Here is a 1,746-nt window from a genome sequence, read left to right on the forward strand (position 1 = left end):
AATTTATATATTAAGCTAGGGGGCCTACAAAATAATTCCTAGCCCGATAGATATCACTAATGATAATTGATTTGGCAAGATCTTTACATGTTAAATTCAACTTTAAAAGCATAGGTGAATTTTTATTTTAATTTACTATTTATGGATTATATGCTTCATATGACTTCATATAATGCATTAATATTGATTTAATTGTAGAATGGCATTTGTAAAATGAACTTTCGTTTCCTCATATTCATTATATAGTATTTTTTCTATTTATGTCACATATTGTTATGTAGTACTCCAAGGTATTCCTAAGTGCACTTTTAGTCACTTACTTATATTAAGTAAATTAATTTATATTAATGCAATCATTTTTATTATTCTTTTCAATTTTGTTCATTGCAAGAAACATCTCTTTTGTAAGCTCATACTTACAGATATCCACACATAAAAGTTTTGGATTCCCCTTTCTAGATATGGACTTATGTAAAAAAAAGTCAAATTTATTGAAAATGACAATATTGCAATATAAGCAATTCATTTAAATGAACAAAACAATTTTGAAACTTTTTATAAGAAAAATATGGTATATACACAAGGGTATACATTTATTAAATATATACATACACATAGGTATGTGTATATATGTGTGTGTATATATATATATATATATATATACACACACACAGAGAGAGAGAGAGAGAGAGACAGAGAGAGAGAGAGAGAGTGTATAGCAGGCACTATTGCAACCACTCATGTACTCTCAGATCTATTTCCCATTTTCATGTACTTGCCATGATGCATTAGCTCTCCCAGAAGCAACAACTGCTTCTCTTTGTCAGAGGGCTGTCCCCTGGCTGCCACAGTCTGTTTTGCCTACATGCACAAAGAGTTGCCCACAGATACATGGAAGCATCCTGATATTTACAGGTTCATGTTGGCTGCTAACCAAAGACTGGTGCAGAACTGACTAGCGCTCAGAGTTGCCATGCAAGTGTGAGGCAAAGTTATCTGCCCTTCAAAAGATTTTGCTTTAAATTGCACCTAGTCATAATATTCTGCTAGGGTAGCTTTGAAAATCCTGAAATGAAAAGAAGTCCAGTTTTTAATGGGCCATGATTGACAGAAGTTTTTTAATGACGCACATTGTTGCAAGAACTTTGTTGTAAGAATGTTGAGGAAGCATATCAAAAGGCTAACAGAAATACACATGTGAGAAGAGACCTATTATATACAAACTGTGAAGCTCTTGTTGGCCAACCAGTGAAAGTGTGAGTGGTATGCTGTTTGCTCTGTTCTGCCATAGGCCCTGTTGCCCCCTGAATCTGCTGGCCATCAACTCCACCTTCCCCTGAAGTAGCCCAAAGTCACCCTGGAATAAGCACTATTCATGCCCACCTTCAGGAGAAGTTGCTGCTTTGTAGGACTCTCCACTCAGGAGTTTGCCTAGTCCATGGAGGACGTGTTCAATTGATTGAATTGAGGACAAGGCAAATATGAGTTCATTATCAGCTTGCAGTGTTTCTTCAAAACACACATGAATGAGGCCTATGGCTATACCAGATTCTCAGTGGCGGTGCTGATGAAAACTCCACTACTGATTCCTGTTCAGTACTTTCAAGTATGCACTAGAGCTGCTCTGGTGACAGTCTCTAAGGCTAGGGCCCCCATGGCCAAACTGTCCGGGTTCTGTTCTCTGTTCTGTCCATATCCCTCTGTCCCTAACAGCACTATCCCCCAATGCCTAATGATATAATTTTT

This window comes from Homo sapiens, chromosome 2 (genome assembly GCF_000001405.40).
Source record: "Homo sapiens chromosome 2, GRCh38.p14 Primary Assembly".
Lineage (NCBI taxonomy): Eukaryota > Metazoa > Chordata > Mammalia > Primates > Hominidae > Homo > Homo sapiens.